The sequence below is a fragment of the Homo sapiens genome, chromosome 2 (assembly GCF_000001405.40).
Source record: "Homo sapiens chromosome 2, GRCh38.p14 Primary Assembly".
Classification (NCBI taxonomy): Eukaryota; Metazoa; Chordata; class Mammalia; order Primates; family Hominidae; genus Homo; species Homo sapiens.
Genome location: NC_000002.12, coordinates 128603729 through 128624593, shown reverse-complemented (window position 1 = coordinate 128624593; position 20865 = coordinate 128603729). Strand labels below are relative to the sequence as shown.

Here is a 20865-nt window from a genome sequence, read left to right as displayed (position 1 = left end):
GTGGTGTGGGTGTGCTGTATGTGTGCGTGTGGTGTGGGTGTGCTGTATGTGTGCGTGTGGTGTGGGTGTGCTGTATGTGTGTGTGTGTGTGTGTGTGTGTGTGGGCGTGTGCACCCCCCCCCACCTCAGGCCACAGTGGGGATACAAATTGACTAAGCCACTGCTGGCTGCACTGAGGAGATTGGAAACAGGGAAAAGGGACAGGGAGGGGCTGGATGTGCCCGGGATGGGGTGGGAAGGAGGGGAGCTGGTGCCTTGGGAGAGCCCGCATAGACACAGAGCAAGGACTTGTCTAACCTTCAGTCAGAGGTAAAGAGCAAAAAAGCCAAAGAGAAAAAGAAACAAAGCAGAGATTTCCCATCTGAGCATGCAGGCGCAGAACCCACAGTGATGAATGATGCAATCAGACCACAGAGGCTGCTCAGGTTTCTGTGCAAATGAAGAGAAAAATTTGAAAATGTGGCTGAAACCCAAACCCCAAATGTCACTGTAATCTGAGGAGTGTCTGCTCAGAGCAGAAGGAAAATCAGCCTCTAGGAAGCAGCTCAGGCCTCCTCTCCTGCCCAGGCTTGGGTGAAGTGAGGGGCTTGCAGAATGAGGATCCCCTACCCAAGGGCCTGGGCGGCTGCAGGGCCTCAACAGTTCCTGCCATGATGGAGATGAGCAGAAGCCACGTTAGGACCAGCAGGACCGACGAAATCACAGGCAGGCTGACTCCCATCATGGGTCTCCAGACGATGCAAAGTCCCCCTCAGACCCATCACCATGGCCCCTGCTAAGGGAGAGACCCATACACTACTCACACCCAAATGTGCCTTGTAAACGTTTTGATGACTGCATTTCTCTATAATTGGCTTCTTCCATACTACTAATGGCTTTATTGGATGCATCGAAAGCCATTATTCTGAGAAGGGTACAAAGGCTTCACTGAACTCCTAAAGGGGTTCCAGGTACACATGTGGCCGGGAAGCCTGGTGGGCAGTGGCGCTGCCTTATCTCATCCCTGTGATTGTGTCTCAGCCAGATGGGATCAAGGAGGCTGCCCACAGCCAAGGGGTGGGATGCAGAGGCTCGTTCTGGCTCTCCAGCCCCAGGGACAGGGGCCCCCCAACTTCCAGGTGCCTCCCCCGACCCCTGGCCCACTCTGCTCCCCCAAAGACACACTGAGCTCGGTGACAGATCAGCACAGAGCTGGGCAGGGCATAAGGGAACGGTGGCTTCAGCGAGCTGAGGACCTGGCTCACAACCCCTAGGCTGCAGTCAGGGCAGGACCTGTTCTCATTCACTCTTTACTTCCATGGCCTACGCTGCAGCTGGCACAGAGCAAGTAAGTGCCTGAGCCTGATGGACGCGTGTAGAAAGAATGCATGAGTGAGAGAGAGAGGGAGACAGAGAGAGAGAGAATGAGAGAGGGAGGGAGAGGGAGAGAGAGAGAGAGGGCACCCATCCTCCATGGTTTCTCACGCCTGCTCTGTGGGAGAGGCCAGTGAGTCTGCACAAGTTGACGCCCGGCCCTATCCTTGGAGGTCCCCTGGTCTAATGACTGGCAAACCAATGGAGAGGGTGGATGCTAAAACCTCTGGCTACGTCTCATTTCAGGAATTCTATAGCCTTCCAACCAAAGCTTTTTAGAATGGGTGGGGTTTGAGAGTGGGGGAAGGGAGGAGAAGAAGCCTGCCCACACCAGGGCTTGCACCACCCTGTTTATGCTCAGCCCAGTAGACTACTGGCCCAGAGTCTGTGTCCCCAGTGGCTAGCAGGAGTCTGGTGTCCACCAGGACCTTGGATGGTATCGTTGTTGAATGAATGGGTTCATGCATGGGCACTGTGGCTGATCATATTTTTGTTAATGGCACCACAATCTCTCCCATCCCAGGTCCCTTCTCCCAGTGTGACTTGGCCCTCCTCCGACAGGAAGGCAGGGTGTGTTCCTTAACCTTGAATCCGGGAAGGTCTGTGACTGCAGGGAAGTGGCATTGTGTGACTTCCAGGCCAGGTCACGAGGACAACGCCACTTCTGCCTGGCTCTCTTGAAATCAGCACTATGCTGTGAGGAACCCAGGCCAACCACATGGAGAAGTCACACACAGAGGTCACCAGCGGAGGTTAAGGAGCTCCCGGCTGACAGCTTGCATCAACCACCAGGCCCACAAGCAACCAGCCTTCTGATGGCTTCGGCCCTAGACTTCACCTCTTCCCAGTGAGACCCAGACACCACAGAGCAGAGACAGGCCCTCCCCACAGTGTCCTGTGTGAGGTCCTGGCCCACACAATCCAGGGCACAACTGATGGAGGCAATAAACAAGAAATTATTCAGTGATGCATGTTAGGGATGGCGAGGAAGACTTCACTCATGACCACTGCGATAGGTACAGGCACCATGGCAATGGGAGCTTGCAGCTGGGGAAAGAGGCTGGGCTCAACTCCAAACACAGCGTGGACAAGAGGGAGTTTATAACCGAGGCGTAGGGTAGGGGCCAGTCAATGGAAAATAACAAAGAGGACCTATGAGGGGTAAGGGGACTTCAGGCTAAACCAACCCCACAGGATTTCTGGTGAAGACAGGCCAGGATGGTCAGACCTCCCCTGGGGGACGGTGAAGGATAAGGAACCCTATCAGATATGGAGGGTGATGAGTTATTGAGGGTAAAGTCTTCTTGCTAACCTGACCTAGCAAGGTTCTTGCTGAAACTGGAATTTACCAAGGACATGCACAGATGGGCCTAGAAGGAAGTTCAGGAGCTCGACCAGACTCACATTTGACCAAGCAGAGAATCTTTCTCAGTCCCCTCTGTCATTTGAGGGGAAAAGAAGACATTCTTCTTTCCTTTGCATAACGTAAGTCCATTTTCTTGTTGGGCCACCTTTTGTTTATTAAGTACAAATGAATCATCTGCTGGGACTTGGTAGTAATGAGTGGAGTTTAGTTTCTACGAAAATAAAAGAAAAACAAAGAGTAATTTTTGGAACAAGCATAAACTCACTTTCTGAGTCCAGAAGGCAGTCAGCCGGTCAAGAAGATTTCTAGATGCTAGGCCTGAAGACCCTTCAGCTGGAGCAGGCAGCGGCAAGTGACAGCTCTTCCTGGTTTGCAGCTTGGAGGTCACAAAGGTTTTCCATGCATGAGCTGTTGAGGTGGCTTCTCTGAAGCTTCTATCAAGTAGTCTGGCTTCAGCTTGCTGGGCTTCAGGAAAACCATGGCAATTCCAAGCCAGAAGGATGAGGAAAATTGGAAATGGTCATCTGGAGAGTAATAGGCAGATATTGGAGGAAACTAGAAGAATGCAGGATCCAGTCCAGACTACAGGTAGATCATACAAACTCAAAGACCATGGACAGGGCCAGGGCCTAATACTGGGTAAGGAATTGCTGTTAGGGGTCATGAGCTTCTCAGTGAGGGGGCAGTGCAGATAATGGACCCAGGTTCAGAGGCAAGGACTGCAGCTAAGAAAGAACAGGGAGGGATGACCAGAGGTGTCCAGGGGCCAGAACTCTGGGGACTCCTGCTTGCAGCCACATGGCCAGGTGCCCAGGGATGGTAGAGGAGTGGACCAAAGGGGCCATTCTGAGGAAGAGAGGATGAGAGGCAGGGAGAGGAGATGGATCCACCTCCATGATCAAAATTCCTCTCATCAGGTCCCAAATCCAAGATTGGGATGTGTAGGGCAGGCCAGCCATGTCCCAGTCCATGTAAGCTGCCAGAACAGAAAGCCACAGATGGGGAGGCCAGTGAACTACAGAGATTCCTTTCTCACGGTTGTAGAGGCTGGAAGTTCGAGACCCAGGTACTGGCGGATTCCAGTCTGTGAGGGCCACTTCCTGGTTCACAGACAGTCATCTTGCCATTTCCTCACATGGCAGAAGGGGTGAAGGGGTCTCTCTGGGACCTCTTTTGTAAGGGCACTGATCTCATTCCAAAGGCACCACCCTCATGACACAATCACTTCCCAAAGGCCCTGCCTCCTAATGCCCTCACAGTGGGATTAGGTTTCTTTTTTATTTATTTATTTTTGAGATGCAGTCTTGCTCTGTTGCCCAGGCTGGAGTGCAGTGGCACAATTTCGACTCACTGCAAACTCCCCCTCCCAGGTTCATTCCTGCCTCAGACCCCCAAGTAGCTGGGATTACAGGCGCCCACCACCACACCCAGCTGATTTTTGTATTTTTAGTAGAGATGTGGTTTCACCATGTTGGCCAGGCTGGTCTCGAACTTCTGACCTCAAGTGATCCACCTGCCTTGGCCTCCTAAAGTGCTGGGATTACAGGCGTGAACCACTGGGCCCAGCTGGGATTAGGTTTCATCACATTAATTTTGGGCAGACACAAACATTCAGGGCCATGTCTGTGCCCTCCAGGACAGGGGAAGGAAGGGGACCTGAGCCCAGAGCCCCCGAGGCCGGTGCCCTGCAGCTCAGAGGTGGGGGAGAAGTCTGTCAGGCCCAGGTGGACATGGCATTGTGGCCCCTGCCCCACAAGGAGGGGCTGCTCAGTATCTAAACAAGTGCACTGAGGGGGAGGGGGCAAGTCTCGGCTCCCCCAGGCAAGCAGCTCTCTCCCTGGGAAAGCACTCAGCCCTGCAGCAGGTCCCACCCCCACTTCCAGGACCCAGAGAGAACAGCAGGGTGTGTGGAGATGGGAATAGCCCTGGGACAGTCAGGGGCAGCAACCCCCACTCAAATCCTGGCTGTGTCATCCTGCCCGCCCCAGGCCTCAGTTCCCCCACTGGAGGGGTGGTCCTGCCTCCTTGCTGAGGGTAGAGAAGGTGTTTCTATGGTGGCGCCACGCAGGCCTGCCAGGCTCAGTGGTCTTTCTCCATTCCCTTACGGAGAACCAGAAGTCAGGGAAGGAGGAAAGCACCGCGCCCAGGACGGGATCTGCCAGGACCTCTGGTCAGCGCAGCCGCCTCCAGGCAGACCACCACGGCTGGAAGGGGTTTCCTCAGCAGAGCTGAGGGGCCCTGAGAACAGAGTGGCACAGGCCATCCCTCCGTCCGAGGACAGCACCAGCCCATGTTCCTAGGAGCAGCTATAGTTTCCACTCCCTCCGACCTTGACCCCTCCTGGCCGGGACATGCTCCCACGCTCCCTGCCACAGCCTTCCCACACAGCCCAGAGCCCACAGAGCCTGCGAGGCTGATGGTGACAAGATGGGGTGTGTCCAGAGCAGGGAGGCGAGGGGTCTGAAATTTAGTCTTATTTGGAGGGGTTGAAACAAAGGCCAAGTGTGGTGGCTCATGCCTGTAATCCCAGCACTTTGGGAGGCTGAGGCAGGCGGATCACCTGAGGTCAGGAGTTCCAGACTAGCCTGGTCAACATGGTGAAACCCCGTCTCTACTAAAAATACAAAAATTAGCCGGGTGTGGTGGCAGGTGCCTGTAATCCTAGCTACTCGGGAGGCTGAGGCAGGAGAATTGCTTGGACCCAGGAGGCAAAGGTTGCAGGGAGCTGAGATCATGCCACTGCACTCCAGGCTGGGTGACAGAGACTCCATCTCAAAAAAAAAAAAAAAAAAAGAAAAGAAAGAGAGAGAGAATGCTGAATGATGAATATTTCCCCTAAGAGAAAAACAAAATTGGTGTGTGCATATGTATATTATCTGTATGTGTGTGTGCTTGTGTACACACATGTGCACTTGTGTGTGTGCACATATGTGTGTGCATATATGTGTGTTCTTGTGTGTATGTGTGTGTGTTGTGTTATATGTATGTGTATCATGTGGGCATTTGTGTGTGTGCATGTGTCCGTGTGTGTGCACATGCATGTGGCCACACATTGGCCCTGCTGACTGCCCTGTGCACCCGGGGTACTGTCAGGTAAGGTGGGTCCTGCAGCTCCCTCCACAAAGTTAGAATCTGGGGGAGAAGTTGAAGGGAGAAGTCTGGCCACACCCAGCAGATTCACTGCCCTCAAGAGCCAGGCCTAGGAATGGGCTCCAGGGAGGACCATGGTACAGGACAATGAGGCCTTGGGCAGCAGATATCAGGCTGGGATCCAGCAAAGACAGAGGTCCCAGCACAGGTAGACAGCAAAATTAAGGATGCTGGGACACAGCCTCCCAGGGAGCAGTGGACCCAAGAAGTTGGGGGGCTCAGCCAGGCTGCTGGGGTTTAAGTGTACAGCTGTCTTCCTGTGGGTCTGGAACATTCTGAGGGTTGGGGGCTGTGGTATTGGGGGTTGCACTTGGTGGGGCACTAAGTCCATTTTGTGTTGCTATAAAGGAATACTTGAGCCAGAGTAATTTATAAAGAACAAATATTTATTTGGCTCACGATTCTGATGGTTGGCAAGTTTGGGATTGAGCATCTGCATTTGGGGAGGGCCTCGGGCTGCTTCCACTCCTGGCAGAAGGTGAAGGGGAACAGGTGTGTGCAGTTATCACATGGTGAGACAGGAAGCAAGAGAGATGGGAGGTGCCAGATTCTTTTCAACAACCAGCTCTCAGTGGAAGGCAATAGAGCAAGAACTCACTTGCCCCCAACCCTGAGAGAGGACATTCATCTATTGATGAGGGATCCACCTCCATGAACCAAACACCTCCCATCAGGTCCCAACTCCAATATTGGGATCAAATGTCAACACGAGGTTTGGAGGGGACAAACATACAAACCAAAGCAGGCACACAGACAGGAGCTTCAGCTCCACACAGACTGCACATGACCCCATGCCCATTAACTGTGGAGGGAGAACCTGGCCACAGGCCCTAGCATCAGGGTAGGTCTGTCAGGAGCAGGCAGCGCTCAGACCTGCAGGAATGTGCTCGCAGATCCCGCCCTTCGTGGGCACTGGGTGTCATTGACTTCTGGGGAAAGCTGTTTCCACGGGCAGCATTACCAGTGCAAATGAAGGCTCTGGAGTCCTGGTTGGAACCCCAACTCCACTTCCTACCATCTGCAGCACAGCAACTGTCTGAGCTCTCTGGTTGTTCAAATAAGCCTGTGGACCTCCCTCAAGTGATCCTCCGGGAATTGAATTGGGCCACTCAAGCAAGGGCCCCAGCACAGTCCCTGGACACTCCCAGAATGTTACTCCCCCCAGCTGGAGGGCTCCCACCCTGGCAACGAGGGCTCTCCAAGAAGCCATGAGCACACTCCCACCACCCAATCCCCACAATATACAAGTTGGCAAAACAAGGCAAGGAGGCTCCAATAGAAAGGGACATTCACCAGCTCCTGCCCCCATCTGAAACTGTCCCCGCCTTTCCTCTCTGAATTTGGGCCGTCACTTCTCACATGCCTGACATTTGACAGGCTTGTCTCCCCACCCCAGTCTCAGAGCACCACCCAGCCCAGCGTCTTTCAGGGAGTCAGTCCAGTGTGGCCACACTGGGAGCAGCATGTAGACGGTGCATGCTGGGCAAGGCAGGGAGGGGTGGCCAGGGCTTGGCCACTCCCCTGTGCTCACAGAGTGACACTCAGTCCCCCAGCCTTCCCTTAATGCTAGGGTGAGTGCTCTCCCTGAGCAGGAAGCACAGAACAGCTCAGGTGTGGGACGTGGCAGGGCTCAGCACACACCCTGTGCAGAGGGAATGCAAATGGTTTCCATCCATTTCCCCAGTATCTGCAACTCCTTTTTTTTTTTTTTTTTTTTTTTTTGAGACGGAGTCTTGCTCTGTCGCCCAGGCTCGAGTGCAGTGGCGTGATCTCAGCTCACTGCAAGCTTCGCCTCCCAGGTTCACGCCATTATCCTGCCTCAGCCTCCCGAGTAGGTGGGACTACAGGCGCCCACCACCACGCCCAGCTAATTTTTTTTTTGTATTTTTAGTAGAGACGGAGTTTCACCATGTTAGCCAGGATGGTCTTGATCTCCTGACCTCGTGATCCACCTTCCTCGGCCTCCCAAAGTGCTGGGATTACAGGCGTGAGCCACCACATCCGGCCTTGTATCTGCAGCTCTTAGCAGGGAGGCTGCTATTGGTGATCTTGTCTGGCTGATAATGAACCCTAGCCAAAATCTACCTCAGAGCCATCGGTGTAGGCTCTGCCTTCACTCAGCACTGAGGCCCTCTGCACTGTCCCCCTTGCCGCCTTTGTGATTAGTGGGATGAAGCAAGCCAGCCCCTCGCATGGTGCACTCCCTCCATGCATGTGTCCCACATGGCTGCAGCTCACAAGGCCAGAATCTTCTTGAGGTCCAGCACCTGCCTGTTGTCTCTTTGCCCACATACAGTATCCGCAAAGTGATTGTATTAGTCCATTCTCACACTGCTATAAAGAACTACCTGAGATTGGGTAATTTGCGAAGAAAAGAGGTTTAATTGATTCACAATTCTGCAGGCTGTACAGGAAATACAGCTGGGGAGCCTCAGGAAACTTATAATCATAATGGAAAGCAAACGGGAAGCCAGATTGTCTTACCACGGTGGAACAGGAGAGCGAAGGGAGAAGTGCCACTCACTTTCAAACAACCAGATCTCGTGAGAACTCACTCACCATCATGAGAACAGTAAGGGGGAAATTTGCCCCCATGATCCAATCACCTCTCACCGGGTCCCTCCCCCAACACTGGGGATTACCATTTGACATGAGATATGGGTGGGGACACAGATCCAAACCATATCAGCATTATCCCATTTCTTCTGCAGTTATCCCTTTGCTTTGTAGGTGTTCACTTTGACTTGTTTTCATATCCCATTTGCGTGATACCTGGAAAGCCCCAGACCCCTGCAATCAGGAATGAGTCAAAGCCACAGTTCCCGGGTGCAGCAGAGCAAAGGGGGCCACACACACCAATTAGGACAAGGAAGGAAAGAAAAGGCCGGGGTAGAAAAGGCCTGGTGCAGGAAGGGCCGGATATTGGGAATGGCACGAGGCCAAGGGGCAGCAGGGCAGCAGCACCAGGTCATCTCCCACATGGCATCTTTTGCTGCACATGAGCTCATCGCAAAGAAGCATCTCCGCTCACACGTGGTTCACCCTGGCCAAGTCTGACCCAGAAATTAGTGAGAGGAGCCACTGCTTCCAGGAACTGCTAAGAGGCAGCAGGCAGCAGGATGGCAATTCCAGAGTCCCTCGATGAGGCAGGACAACCCTGGGCAATAATTATGCCAGCACCCACTGAGCTTTGAGGCTCCACAGGAACAGGGGCACTGGGCCCTCCTCACAGAGTTGGTTTTAAGGCTTTTAAAGAACATATTTTCTTTTATTATCATTATTATTATTATTATTATTATACTTTAAGTTCTAGGGTATATGTGCACAACGTGCAGGTTTGATATGTAGGTATACATGTGCCATGTTGGTTTGCTGCACCCATCAACTCGTCATTTACATTAGGTGTTTCTCCTAATGCTATCCCTCCACCCAGCCCCCCATGCCCTGACACACCCCAGTGTGTGATGTTCCCCGCCCTTTGTCCAAGTGTTCTCATTGTTCAACTCCCACTTATGAGTGAGAACATGTGGTGTTTGGTTTTCTATTCTTGTGTTAGTTTGCTGAGGATGATGGTTTCCAGCTTCATCCACGTCCCTGCAAAGGACATGAACTCATCCTTTTTTATGGCTGCATAGTATTCCATGGTGTGTATGTGCCACATTTTCTTAATCCAGTCTATCACTGATGGCGTTTGGGTTGGTTCCAAGTCTTTGCTGTTGTGAATAGTGCCGCAATAAACATACGTGTGTGTGTGTCTTTATAGTAGCATGATTTTTAATCCTTTGGATATATACTCGCTAATGGGATTGCTGGGTCAAATGGTATTTCTAGTTCTAGATCCTTGAGGAATTACTACACTGTCTTCCACAATGGTTGAACTAATTTGCACTCCCACCAACAGTGTAAAAGCATTCCTGTTTCTCCACATCCTCTCCAGCACCTGTTGTTTCCTGACTTTTTAATGATTGCCATTCTAACTGGTGTGAGATGGTATCTCATAGTGGTTTTGATTTGCATTTCTCTGATGACCAGTGTTGATGAACATTGTTTCATGTGTCTGTTGGCTGCATAAATGTCTTCTTTTGAGAAGTGTCTGTTCATATCCTTTGCCCACTTTTTGATGGGGTTGCTTGTTTTTTTTTTTAAAGAACATATTTCCTTAAAAGAAAAACAGAGCAGGAATTAGCTGGTCCCAGGAGTGTGGCAGAGCACTTCCCACCAGCCAGGAAACCACCACCATCTCTGTCGCGACACCAGATACCTTCTTCAGTGCCGCCTCTGCTCATGCCAGGGAAGGCACAGGCCCACATGCACTGGGAAACATAGCACTTTAATCCATGACCAGTGTTCCCATGGCAGCCCGGGTCCCATAGGTTTGGCTTTCTTTGCTATATGCATTTATTTATCATTGCTGCCTGTATTGGGGGGCCCCATGAACTCTTTCAGTCCATGACTTTCTAGAAGGACTCACAGAACTCAGAAAAGCTGGTAACACCCACAGCTATGGTGTATTACAGTGAAAGGATAGAGATGTAGATCAGCAAAGGAAAAGGGTGCTTAGGGCAGGGTCCAGGAGAGGCCAGCCAGGTCCAGTCTGCGGGTGTCGCCCCCCATGGAATTACGTGGGCAGTGCTGGATTCCCCAGCTGCAATGTGTGACTGCATGTGTGAAGTGTGCCCATCCAGGGCTTCAGTGGGGTCAGTCACATAGGCACTGGGAGCCCCTATGACTGACCTCAGCTACTGTCCCCAAGCCCCAGAGGCCAAACAATTTTCAGCATGGCTCAGGATCCCAGGCAAACAAAAACAGGCATTCGTCATCATTGTGGGCTGAATTGTACCCATCTCCCAAATCCCTATGCTGAAGCCCTAACCCCCAGTGTCTCAGAACGGGACTCTGTGTGGAGACAGGGCCTTAAAAGAGGTGATGAAGGTAAAATGGGCCATGTGGGCAGGCCCTAATCCAGTATGCTGTGTCCTTATAAAACGAAGAGGTGAGGACACAGACACGGAGGGAAGGCCACGTGAGGACACAACAAGAGGGCAGCCATCTCCAGGCCGAGGAGGGAGCCCTCAGGAGAAACTACCCTACCCACACCTCTATCTTAGGCCTCCAGCCTCCAGAACTGTAAGAAAGTGAGTTTCTGCTGCTGAAGCCCCAGCCTGCAGCACTCCGCTGTGGCAGCCCTGGAAAGCCCTGGAAGGCTAAGATCACCACAAATCACACTGTTAGCAGGGATTCTGTGTGGCCCGCAGCCTCACATCTGCAAAGATATACAAAGACCCTCTTCTCAAGCAGACATTCCCAGGCTCAGAAGTTACCCCTCAGGAGCCAGGAAAGGGCCAGCCCTGCAGACTTCCGGAAAGGCCAGGGTTTGGGCAACTCACCCCTGCAGAATTAACCCTTTGCTGTACACTGCTGCAACGAATCACCACCACTTCGGTGGCTTAAAACCACACAAAGGTCAACTGGTCTGGTCCCACTGGACCTAAATCAAGCTGTTGCCAGGGTTGGTTCTGTACCCCTCCAGGGCAGAATCCATTTCTTTGTGGACGTACAGAATGTTTTCCCAGAAGCCCCCAGCCAATTTCCCCTCAGGCCTCATCAATCAGAAATGAGTGACACGCCCACCACTACAGGGGTTCCTGACAGAGAGAAATAGGATTATTGATTGAGGTGAACCAATCATGAAGCCCCCTTCTGCCTGGGGACCCAGCTTCCCTGAGGACATTGCTGATCCTGATACCTGAACAGGATGGGGGTTCTTGCAGCAAGGAAGAGTGGCATGGGGGAGGCAGCCAGCTCTTCTGCCCATCTGGAAGTAAGGGTGCGGCAGCATCTCATGGAGTAAGCATTACCTGTGCCCCTGCCCTGGGTGCATCAACCTAGGAGCTGGGTGCCAGTGAGCAAGAGATGGTCCCTGCCTCACAGAGGCCTGGGGCATGTGGGCAGATATGTGAGCAGAGGTGCCAGAGAGTGTCAGAGACGCATTAGAAGTCCCTGCACAGAGCAGTGAGGAAGCAGCAGCCTCGTTAGGTTCCACTGCAGTCCAAGGGAGTGGTGGTAGTGGCTTAGATCAGATGGTGGAAGTGAAGGCGGAGGGAGGGAGTTCTGGACTCAATTCCAACAAAGAGGCTACTAGGATTTGCTGATGGGTTGGATGCAGATATAAAGTATGAGGGAGAAAAAGACAGAGACAGAGGTGGAGACACAGAGAGAGATACAGAGACAGATGCACACACAGAGAAAGAGAGACGTCCATCCAGAGCAGCTCCCAGAACCCTCCTGGGCCGCTGTAAGGCGGCCTGTGCTCTGCGGGGATAGGGAAGGGTCGGATGAGGGCAGGTGATGTCAGAGATGCCCGGAGACATCCAAGTTAGATGCCAGCTCTGGGGCTCAGGGGACAGCTCCAGGCTAGAGACAGACTCTGGTGGTTTCAGTGTGTCCTTGCCTCTCAAAACCATGGGCTTGGAAGGAGACCCTAGAGATGGGGGAGAGAAGAGGAGCCGGACACAGCCCTGAGCCCCCAATACTCCCAGGCCAGGAGGACACAGAGGCCAGGAGAGGAGACAGCCCGGGGGGTCATGAAGGCCAGCAGAGCACTGAGAGGAGAGTGGCCAGAGAGTGACCACCCTGCCACGAGGGGGCCTTGGCAAGAGAGGCTCCATGGGGACGTGGAGCTGCCTGAGGGAGTGGCTGGGTAGAGGCTGGAAGACCAGACAGTGGCAGGAGAGCTGCTTCTCTGAGTTTTGCAGTAAAAGGAGCAGCAACAGGCAAAGTCTTGTAAAGGGAGGGTTAAAGAGGCATTTTGCTTGTTTGTTTTGTTTTTCTTTCAATGCTAGAAGCAACTCCCGCCTTGATGTAGAAAGCCCGCATCACTGCAGCAGAAGCTGGGAGGCACAGGGAGTTGTGCTCAGCCACCCCACAGGGGACCTGCAGAGGTTTAACCTGGGAGGAGGAGCTCAGGTTTGTGCTCTAAAAGGTCATTCTCTTTATCCCCACTCCCACCCCACCCTGGTGCACAGGAGAGTCCAGACCCAGGCATGGCCTCAAGGCCAAAGCCGGACAGTTTTCCCAAGCACTGTAACAGCCTAGGAAGTAACAGGCTAAGAAGGCCCAGGAGCAGGCTGGCTCCCACAGAAGACAGCCCTCAGAATTCTGAAATAGCCAGCAGCACCTACAGGGATTTCTGACCTGCCTATCCCCAAAACCTGAGCCCCCAGATAGTCTGCGTATCTCAGCCCCAAATCTGGGCAGGTTCCCAGGGTCACCACCATGAAGAGAGGCCAGAAGAGATTTTTTTTTTTTTTTACTGAGTTTCGCTCTTGTTGCCCAGGCTGGAGTGCAATGGTGCGGTCTCCGCTCACCGCAACCTCTGCCTCTCCCAGGTTCAAGCAATTCTCCTGCCTCAGCCTCCCAAGTAGCTGGGATTATAGGCATGCACCACCATGCACAGCTAATTTTGCATTTTTAGTAAAGACGGGGTTTCTCCATGTTGGTCAGGCTGGTCTCCAACTCCCAGCCTCAGGTGATCTGCCCGCCTCACCTTCCCAAAGTGCTGGGATTACAGGCGTGAACCACCGTACCAGGCCTCACTCTTAAAAGAGAGAGAGAAATGTCCAGTTGGTATTCTAGGGAGACTTAAGAAAAGAAGGAAGGCCTCCAAAACAGGCTGTCATAAAAAACAAAATATCAGAGAATAAGAAAATCCTCTTGCAAACTTAATGCCCAATGCCAAAACAACCAGCTTAATAGAGAGATAGGAAGATTAAAAACAAGAAAATATCTCAGAATATAGACGGGACCATTAGTGAAATAATGATAAACCCTACAGGGGAACCATCTAGAAACTCCAACAACTGACCAATAAAAGTTTCAAAAGCAAAGATCGAACAAAACGGAAGCAGGAACATTTATCCAAAAAGCAACACAGGAAAAGTTGCTGGAGTTGAAGGAAAAAATAATTCTTTTGGACAAAGAACCCATCCCTCATAAAGATACAAGCAGCACGGCCAGACATCGGCCACCCGGATCCTGGGAGGTGACACAGGACACCGCGAGGTTCTGGGCAGGAGTGTTTCTGTGGCTCTACATTGCCTCACCAGGGCAGCTGGAAGAAAATGTGAGGGCACAACGAACCCTTTTTTAGAAACGCAGGATGAAAACAGTAACCCTAAGCCTCCCTTCCTTAGAAAGCAGTTGTTAATAGATTCCAGCAAAGTGAGGGGGAAAATCAGGAAACAAGACATGGGATGAGGTAACGGTGGCTCCAATCCCAGAGACAGGTAATGGTGGTTCTAGGAGGGCAGCTATGGTCCAAGGACAGGCCCCAGAAAGGGACAGAGGACAGAGGCAGAGTTTTTAGAGGATGTAGAGAACTTTCAGATAATGCGGGGGCTTTTAGAGAGTCCCTAGAAAAGCTACAGAGATCTTGAAAAATCTTGGGGGATGTAACAAAGACAGAACACAAAAAGTAAGCAGGGATAATGTAACAATAACAATTAAACAGCACCAGAAGCAGCCGGGAGTGGTGGCTGACGCCTGTAATCCCAGCACTTTGGGAGGCTGAGGTGGGCGGGTCACCTGAGGTCAGGCATTAGAGACCAGCCTGGCCAACATAGTGAAACCCCATCTCTACTAAATTAGCCGGGCATGGTGGCAGGCGCCTGTAATCCCAGCTACTTGGGAGGCTGAGGCAGGAGAATCGCTTGAACCCAGGAGGCAGAGGTTGCAGTGAGCTGAGATTGTGCCACTGCACTCCAGCCTGGGCAATAGAGTGAGACTCCATCTCAAAAAAAAAAAAAATAGCACCAGAGGCTATGAAAAAAAAATTAGAAGAAAGGCACGGTCCAAAGGTGCAAGAAGGTCAAGAAGAGTGTGGTGTGATCTGAGCAATTATCAGAGTGAAAGGGGGCTCTGCCTGCCTAGCACCCGAGCTCTCCTGCCACTGACCTGCAGAGGGCCCAGTGGGGGCCACAGAGAAGGGAGAACCATCCCAGCATAGAACTGGAAGTGTCCAGGGGAGGCAAAGGCCACGCATTTGTTCTCAACTTACGAATGGACCTGTGCACCAACATCACAGGAGCTTTAGCCCTGGGTGCAGACAGATCTAGGCCTGGGTGCAGACAGATCTAGGCCTGGGTGCAGACAGATCTAGGCCTGGGTGCAGACAGGTCAAGCCGAGGAGGTGCAGGGGAGAGCCAGTGTCCTCAGCGCCCCTGAGTCCAGCCTGAGCAACCTGCTTACCGCAAAAGAGTGACCAGGAAGGCTCCGGGACTTGGTCTGAGACTGCAAGGGGCCAGATGGAGGAACTGAGAACAGCAACAAGGAGAGCAGGTCTTAGAGCTCTGAGCTCCTAAATCCTCAACAGGTGAGGCTTCAAGCTCCCAGGTGGCTCTGTCAACCTAGACATGAGAACTGAAAACAGGGCGGCTTGGCATGGTCTCCCAGCAGCAGGCATACCCTCCTGTCTCCCCACTCACTCTTGGCAACTGGGGCAGGCAGGACTTGCATTGCCACTACTACCCCCATGCCCTGGAACAGCCGCCTCGCAGCGCTCTGCCACCTCCTGCCTCCACGGAAGCTCTGTGGTCCACACTCATTCCTCCATCAGCAAAGCTGGGGGCTCTGCCCTTCCAATACCATATACCCAGATCCAACCCCTTCTTCAGCACTGTCCTGCTGCCAGCTGGTCCACACCCGCCCTCATCTTCCGCCTCCGAACGCATTTCCATGCTTCCACCCTCCACACAGAGCATCTCCCGCACCACAATGGCCAGAGTGATCATTCTATAAGGCAGGCCAGACCAGCACCCTGCTGGATCTACACACGGGAGTTGCCATCTCTCTCAGAGTAAGGCCCAAGTCCCCAGGCTGCCTATAAGGCCTGTACTTCTCCTGCTCCCTCCCCGGGACTTCATTCTGGCTTCCTCACCGCTCCTCAGACAAGCCTCAGGGCCTTTGCACTGGCTGATCTCCCGCGAGACAGCCATTTGCCCAAATATAACACTCAGGGCTCATTCCTTGCCTCCTCCATCAGTCGGGAATGTATTGTCAATTCATAAGCAGGCACCAGCTCCAACTGCCCCTTATCATCCTTATTCGTGGAAATAAGATTAACTGGGATTAGCAGGTCTGTTTCCAGTGCAGAATATAGGAGCTGTCAAGAACCAGCAGTTTTCCACACCTGAGGGTGTGCACACTCACCAGGAAAGCCTGGCCACACTCGCCCGAGGGCCCCGCCCCACCGTTCCTTGGGAGGGCCTGTGAGACAGGACGTGCCCCCTGCTGGGCTGGGAAAGGCCTCCCCAGCACGCATTCCCATGCACCCGAGTGCACCCGGGACTCCCGAGACCCAGAGCACTGCTTGTTTTTAGGCAGGGCTCTGAGTGGAAAGGGCTGAGCTGTGCCAAGCTCCTGGACTTGGTGCCCTCGGGGCCAGGGATGACTGCTCTGCACCACCGGGGCGTGCCAGAGTGACCTGAGACTCCATGCCTGGCTGAGAAAAGTCCTCTCCCCAGTGCCGCTGTAAGTGCCCGGGCTTTGCCAGGCCTCCACACAGACTGGCAGGCAAAGGTATTCTCAGCTGAGAAATCGCTGCGGCAACCATGGGAGGAGAAGGAACAGAACACGCAGGCGCAGGCTTCGGGCTGTCTCTCACCTCCCCCGCCCCCACAGCGCATCCCCGCCCCCCAGTCTGTCTGGCTTTGGGGTGTCCTCATTTCCCCCAGTCCCTCTCCCTCCCGCTCATTTTCCACCCTCTGCTCCTCCTGCTTAATTTCTTAAAATAGAAGAATTTTGAGAAACAAATTACAGACTAATGGCAGTGTCAATTCCCATGAGCTCAGGAAAATGTAGAATTTAATTTTAAGTCTGAGAGAGCTTATTTACAGACTGCCTTTTTCCCTTTGGGTCCCAACATCATAAGCAAGCTCAGTATGCCTGAGGAGGGAGTGGTGCAGTAGACGTGCTGATGAGGCCGGGTTTCAAAAGCCCATTCCCTCGCCCTGGGTGGGTGGCCACAGCCCTCACTTCCTGCACACTTCGGTCAATTTCAGAAGGAGCCTCAGCCACGTGCACCGTGCCCAGCAAACTGCGAGCTCGAGAGAGGCAAAGAGGGAGATTGCCCAACAACCTGAACCAGGAATTCCAGCCCAGAACCTCTTATCCAAATTGGCTGATATTGGACCTCACGTTTTAGGAGCTTTTCCAGAAGTCTGTGGCATTCATTCCTTCATTCATTCATTCAGGCATGCATTTGATGTTTACCAAGACTTGCACTGTTTTAGGCCCTGGAGGTATAAAGTTTCTGCCATCAGCAGCATATATTCTCCTGGGATGAGACAGAAGCAAAGCAAATACCCAAATAAATACTTGTCAGTTGCAATGAACTGTCAAGAAGAAAAACAAAGCAGTTAGTAGGCGTTCAAGACTGGGGTGGGAAGGCTTGTTCAGAGAGGCTGGCCAGGGAGGACCTGGACCATGTAAACTTGAGCTGATCCTGGAAAGGAGTATACAGTGTGTCTGGGGAAGGCTGTCCGGGCAGAGGGAGCAATGAGTGCAAAGGCCCCGGGCTCAGCATGTTCAGAAAACAAGGGGCCAATGTGGTCAAAGCAGGTGCAAGCCTGGGCCTGGGGTTCCAAGAGAAGTGGGAGCTGCTGGAGGGTTGGGGCAGAAGAGGGGCAGGTCTGACTTGGCATTTGCTGTCGCGGAGGAAGAGGGTGGGTGCAGCCCCAGCCATCCCACCTGAACTCCTGCCCCAGGTCTGGCAGCCCCTGCCACTCCTGGACTCCCATGCTGTCCCCGCTCGGGAAGAGAGATCTGGCTGTGCCTGCCTGGGAGAAGCAGGATTTTCACAGCAACTTTGGTAGGAGTCTGCAGAATGACCTCAAAGATATCCACATCCTAATCTGAGACTAGGACCACAGAACCTAAGAATGTCACCTTCCATGGCGAAAGGGACTCTGCAGGTGTGATACAGTCAAGGATCTTGGATGGCGGAATTACTGGGCTTATGGAAATAACCCAATATAATCATAAGGGTCCTCATCAGAGGGGCACAGAGGAGCCAGAGGAGATGCAGGACAGAAGCAGAGGTTGAAGGGATCTACATTGAAGATGGAGGGAGCTGTCAAGAACCAGCAGCTTTCCACACCTGAGGGCGTGCACACTCACCAGGAAAGCCTGGCCACACCTGAGGGCATGCACACTCACCAGGAAAGCCTGGCCACACCTGAGGGCATGCACACTCACCAGGAAAGCCTGGCCACACCTGAGGGCGTGCACACTCACCAGGAAAGCCTGGCCACACCTGAGAGCGTGCACACTCACCAGGAAAGCCATTCCACACCTGAGGGCATGCACACTCACCAGGAAAGCCTGGCCACACCTGAGGGCGTGCACACTCACCAGGAAAGCCATTCCACACCTGAAGGCATGCACACTCACCAGGAAAGCCTGGCTACACTCGCCAGAGGGCCCAGCCCCCATTCCTTGGAAGGGCCTATGGGGCCTGACGTGTGTCCCGCAGGGCTGAGAAAGGCCTCCCCAGCACACATTCTCTTCATCCAAGTGTACCCGGGACTCCCGAGACCCAGAGCCTAGGAATGAGGGTGGCCTCTGGAACCGAGAAAGCCAAGGAACGCTCCCCTCAAGCCCTGGAGGAAACCAGCCCTGCCGACTCCTTTGCGTCCGCTGAGCCTTGTTTCAGCCCTCTGGCCCCAGGACGGTGGGAGAGTAAATCTGTGCTGTTTCGTTTCAGGTTGGCAACAATTTGTCACAACAGTGATAGAAAATTAATACAGCCCTCTTAGATGGATTCCCTAGAAGCAGAGCCCGGGGCTAAGATCTGCAGGCCCAAGGTGTATTGACAGTGAGCTTTTCAGGAAGTACCATGAGACAGAGCAGAAGCAGCACAGGTAGGGAAGAGCCCAGCAAGGTGTGAGCTCAGGTGAAGCCAGTCACCACCCGCCAGGCCTTGGGAGACTCTGGGCTGGAGCACAGACTGCTCTGAACGGTTGGTCTCTCCTGGGTGGGAAGCTGTTCTCTGGGATCAGCAGACAGCAGGTGGGTGTGTGCTGCTCCAGAGGCAGGGGCGTAACCTCCCAGGCATGGCAGTGCTTGCTCCAGCATTCCTGGAGAAGGGGCAGCGGTGCACACATCCTCAACAGCAGCCAGGGGACACTGACCCCGATGGACACCTGCACCTGGCACAACCGTACAATCGCCACCATCCACCAAGTAAGTATGCACTATGATCCAGGCCCAAGTCTAGCAAAGAAGGTACAGTACTAACTTCCCTGGCCCTAATCATAGTTCTGGGAGGCAAGAACTGTTAATACCCCCATTCAGGTGAAGAAACTGAGGCATAGAGAGGTTAGATAAGCTGCCCAAGCGCTCATAGCTGGTGCTGGAGTGGGGTCCACACTGGCAGGAACTCCTGGTCCCTACGCTGGCCACCTCCTGCGGGTGGGCAGAGGATGGCACGGCCTATGCTCAGGACGTGCTAGGTTGGGCACCTTCTTTCAGCATGTGGTAATTCCTTTTCTCCTCAGCTGGGGAAATAACACCACAGACATCCCTCAGTATCCACAAGGATAGGACCTGGGACCCCCGAGGATACCAAAATCCAGGGATTTCCAAGTCTCTGATACAAAATGGCATAGTATTTCCATATAATCTACACCTATCCTTCCAAGTACTTTAAATCATGTCTAGATTACTTGTAATACCAGATGCAATGGAACTGCTATGTAAATGGTTGTTCTATTGAATTTTTATTTGTATTATTTTATTGTTGTATAGTTATTTTCATTGCTCTTTCCTAATATTTTTTGTCCGCGTTTGGTTGAATCCATAGATGCGGAACCCAGGCATAAGGAGGTCCAAACTGTACTTGTCTTAAAAGACTGATTCTTGGCAGGGCGCGGTGGCTCTCGCCTGTAATCCCAGCACTTTGGGAGGCCTAGGTGGGCGGATCACAAAGTCAGGAGATCGAGACCATCCTGGCCAACATGGTGAGACCCCGTCTCTACTAAAAAATAAAAAAAAAAATAGCTGGTTGTGGTGGCACGCACCTGAAATCCCAGCTACTCGGGAGCTGAGGCAGGAGAATTGCTTGAACCTGGGAGGCGGAGATTGCAGTGATCTGAGATCACGCCACTGCACTCCAGCCTGGTGACAGAGTGAGACTCTGTCTAAAAAAAAAAGAGAGAGACTGATTGTTTACAAAGAAAGGAAGGAGATTCATCAGGATGTAACAGAGGTTATCTCTGAATGATTTCTACTTTCCCTTTATACTTTTTCAGAGTTTCCAAATGTCCTTCAAACAGAGATTTGGAATGCAGACCAAAACAACGCATGTATTTGGTGTCTCTGAATGGACAGGGCAGAAGAGGCCTCCCTTTGGAGAATCCACCAGCACCCTCCCTGGGACCTCCGTCCCTCACCCCAGCTGGGCCCCAGGTGCCTTCCTTGGGCTCTGGCCTGGGACCTGGGCCAGCCTCCCTGGGTGCCTGGGCTGTGAGGGGTGACTCTCAGGTGCTGCCTGCCATGTCTCTTGTGAGGACCAGAGCAGGAAGGAGCCTGTGCAGGAACAAAAAGAAGGGTGAGGGAAGAGGCCATCATGGTCCTGCTGGGCTGGATCTGAGATGCAGCCATAATCCTGCCTTGAGTGTCCCCCAAACCCTCAAAACCAAGTTCCTTTTGATTTATTTTAGTCTACCTACTTTCCTGTCACATCTGATCCAAGCTATTTCTCATCCAGGGAGAGAGAAGAGGGGTACCTGCTGCCCACCGTGTGTGCAGAGCCCTGGGCTGGGCGGTGGACAAGCGGGAATGTGGCTGTCCAGACATCGGGTGTCTGAACCACCCTGAGAGAGGGGGCTGTGGCCTGGCCCAGGCAAGGACACTGAGGCTCAGCGAGGTTAACATAATAGCCACGTACATCCTAGCGGGCAGTCCTTTCCTGTTCCCTCACCCTCCCCGGCTCCGGGGAC

The 20865-nt window shown here is 52.9% G+C and overlaps 2 long non-coding RNA genes across 2 annotated transcripts in view, besides 1 other annotated feature; both read right to left on the bottom strand.

Moving 5' to 3' along the window:
- LOC105373611 (uncharacterized) overlaps window positions 1-20865 on the bottom strand; it is a 241632-nt gene that overhangs the window by 19641 nt on the left and 201126 nt on the right. The window contains exon 2 of the long non-coding RNA XR_923318.2: window positions 2985-3243. This is a non-coding gene — a long non-coding RNA (uncharacterized LOC105373611). The remainder of the gene's footprint in view (window positions 1-2984; window positions 3244-20865) is intronic.
- Window positions 118-387: an enhancer, noted in NCBI's record as "active region_16514". NCBI's record gives its function as "activates an Ori minimal core promoter by ATAC-STARR-seq in GM12878 lymphoblastoid cells {active_cell/tissue: GM12878}" and the evidence as "EXISTENCE:reporter gene assay evidence [ECO:0000049][PMID:35858748]".
- On the bottom strand, window positions 19626-19979 carry LOC124907887 (uncharacterized). The gene is made up of 2 exons (XR_007087232.1): window positions 19945-19979; window positions 19626-19832 (listed from the first exon to the last, which is right to left on the bottom strand). It is a non-coding gene; the product is annotated as an uncharacterized LOC124907887 (long non-coding RNA).